General features: G+C 50.0%; 1 annotated feature.

Annotated features, from left to right (window-relative positions):
* Positions 347–499: a silencer, noted in NCBI's record as "fragment chr20:36280377-36280529 (GRCh37/hg19 assembly coordinates)". NCBI's record gives its function as "represses an EF-1alpha promoter that drives an FKBP-Casp9 reporter gene in an ReSE screen in HepG2 liver carcinoma cells {active_cell/tissue: HepG2}" and the evidence as "EXISTENCE:reporter gene assay evidence [ECO:0000049][PMID:32094911]".

Genomic DNA, 1,032 nt, shown 5'->3' on the forward strand with positions numbered 1-1,032 from the left:
TGCCTGGCATGGAGTAGGCCTTCAGTGAATGGTAGACATTATTATGTAATACACAGTCAGTGGATTTCCCTCTGTCTGTCTCTTTACCCATCTCCCTGTTTCTCAGGTTTTCTCCTCCAATCCCCTTACCCCTTCCAGGACCCAGGTCTAATCTGATTTGCTGTGTGTCCTTGGGCAAAAATCTCTTCCATTCTCTGGGCCTGCTCTCTCCATCCAGCTAGAATGCTTCAACAAGGCTGCTGGGGTCCCATCTCTCCCCCTTCCTCTCTTGGCTGGCCTTGCTACCCTGCCATCTATCCCCAGGCTCATTTTACAGGTCAGTTCCCTTTAATGAGCAGGGCTCAGAGCCTTTTCCCTCACAAAATGGAAACTGCGGGTTCATCAAAATCTCATTAACCTCCATTCTCCTGGTGGGCCTGCAGGGGTCAGACCTGTCTCAGGGTGGCGGTGCCACCTCCCAGTTGGCAGGCTCCAGGGCTGTCTGGGGCTAGCGGTGGGTGGGGCTACTGGTTTGCTGGTTCCAGACAATATTCATGCCACAACATCCAGTCCTGCCAACCTTGGCCACCTGGAAGGAAGAGGAGAGAGGGGGCCTTCAGCACTTTAATTTGAAAACTTGCCATGGGACCGAGGGATGTTGGGAGCAGAAGAGAACGGCTGGCTTCTAGTGAATTAATGCTTTGCTTGTAACTGGTAATTTTCTCCACTTTCATGTCACCTGGCTCTTTCTTCTTCTTCTTCTTTCATTTGATCTTACTTGGAAGGGTAATGTGGCCCACCACTGTCTCCTCCATCATGGTCCTAATTTTTCATCTAGGACTTGTCTGAGCCTAGCCCTGCTCATGTGCATGGTCTCTGGAGGAGCTTGGTAGTGAGGGTTTCTGGGATCCTCTCACTAACCAGGGGGCTGTGGGAAAGTTGCTTAGGCTCTCTTAGCCTCACTTACCTCCTCTATTCTGAGAATAAAATGAGATAATGTATTTAGTGCCTGGCAACCACTTTGAAAAACATGGTGGCAGTTTCTTCTAACCT

This window comes from Homo sapiens, chromosome 20 (assembly GCF_000001405.40).
Source record: "Homo sapiens chromosome 20, GRCh38.p14 Primary Assembly".
In the NCBI taxonomy this organism is placed as follows: Eukaryota; Metazoa; Chordata; class Mammalia; order Primates; family Hominidae; genus Homo; species Homo sapiens.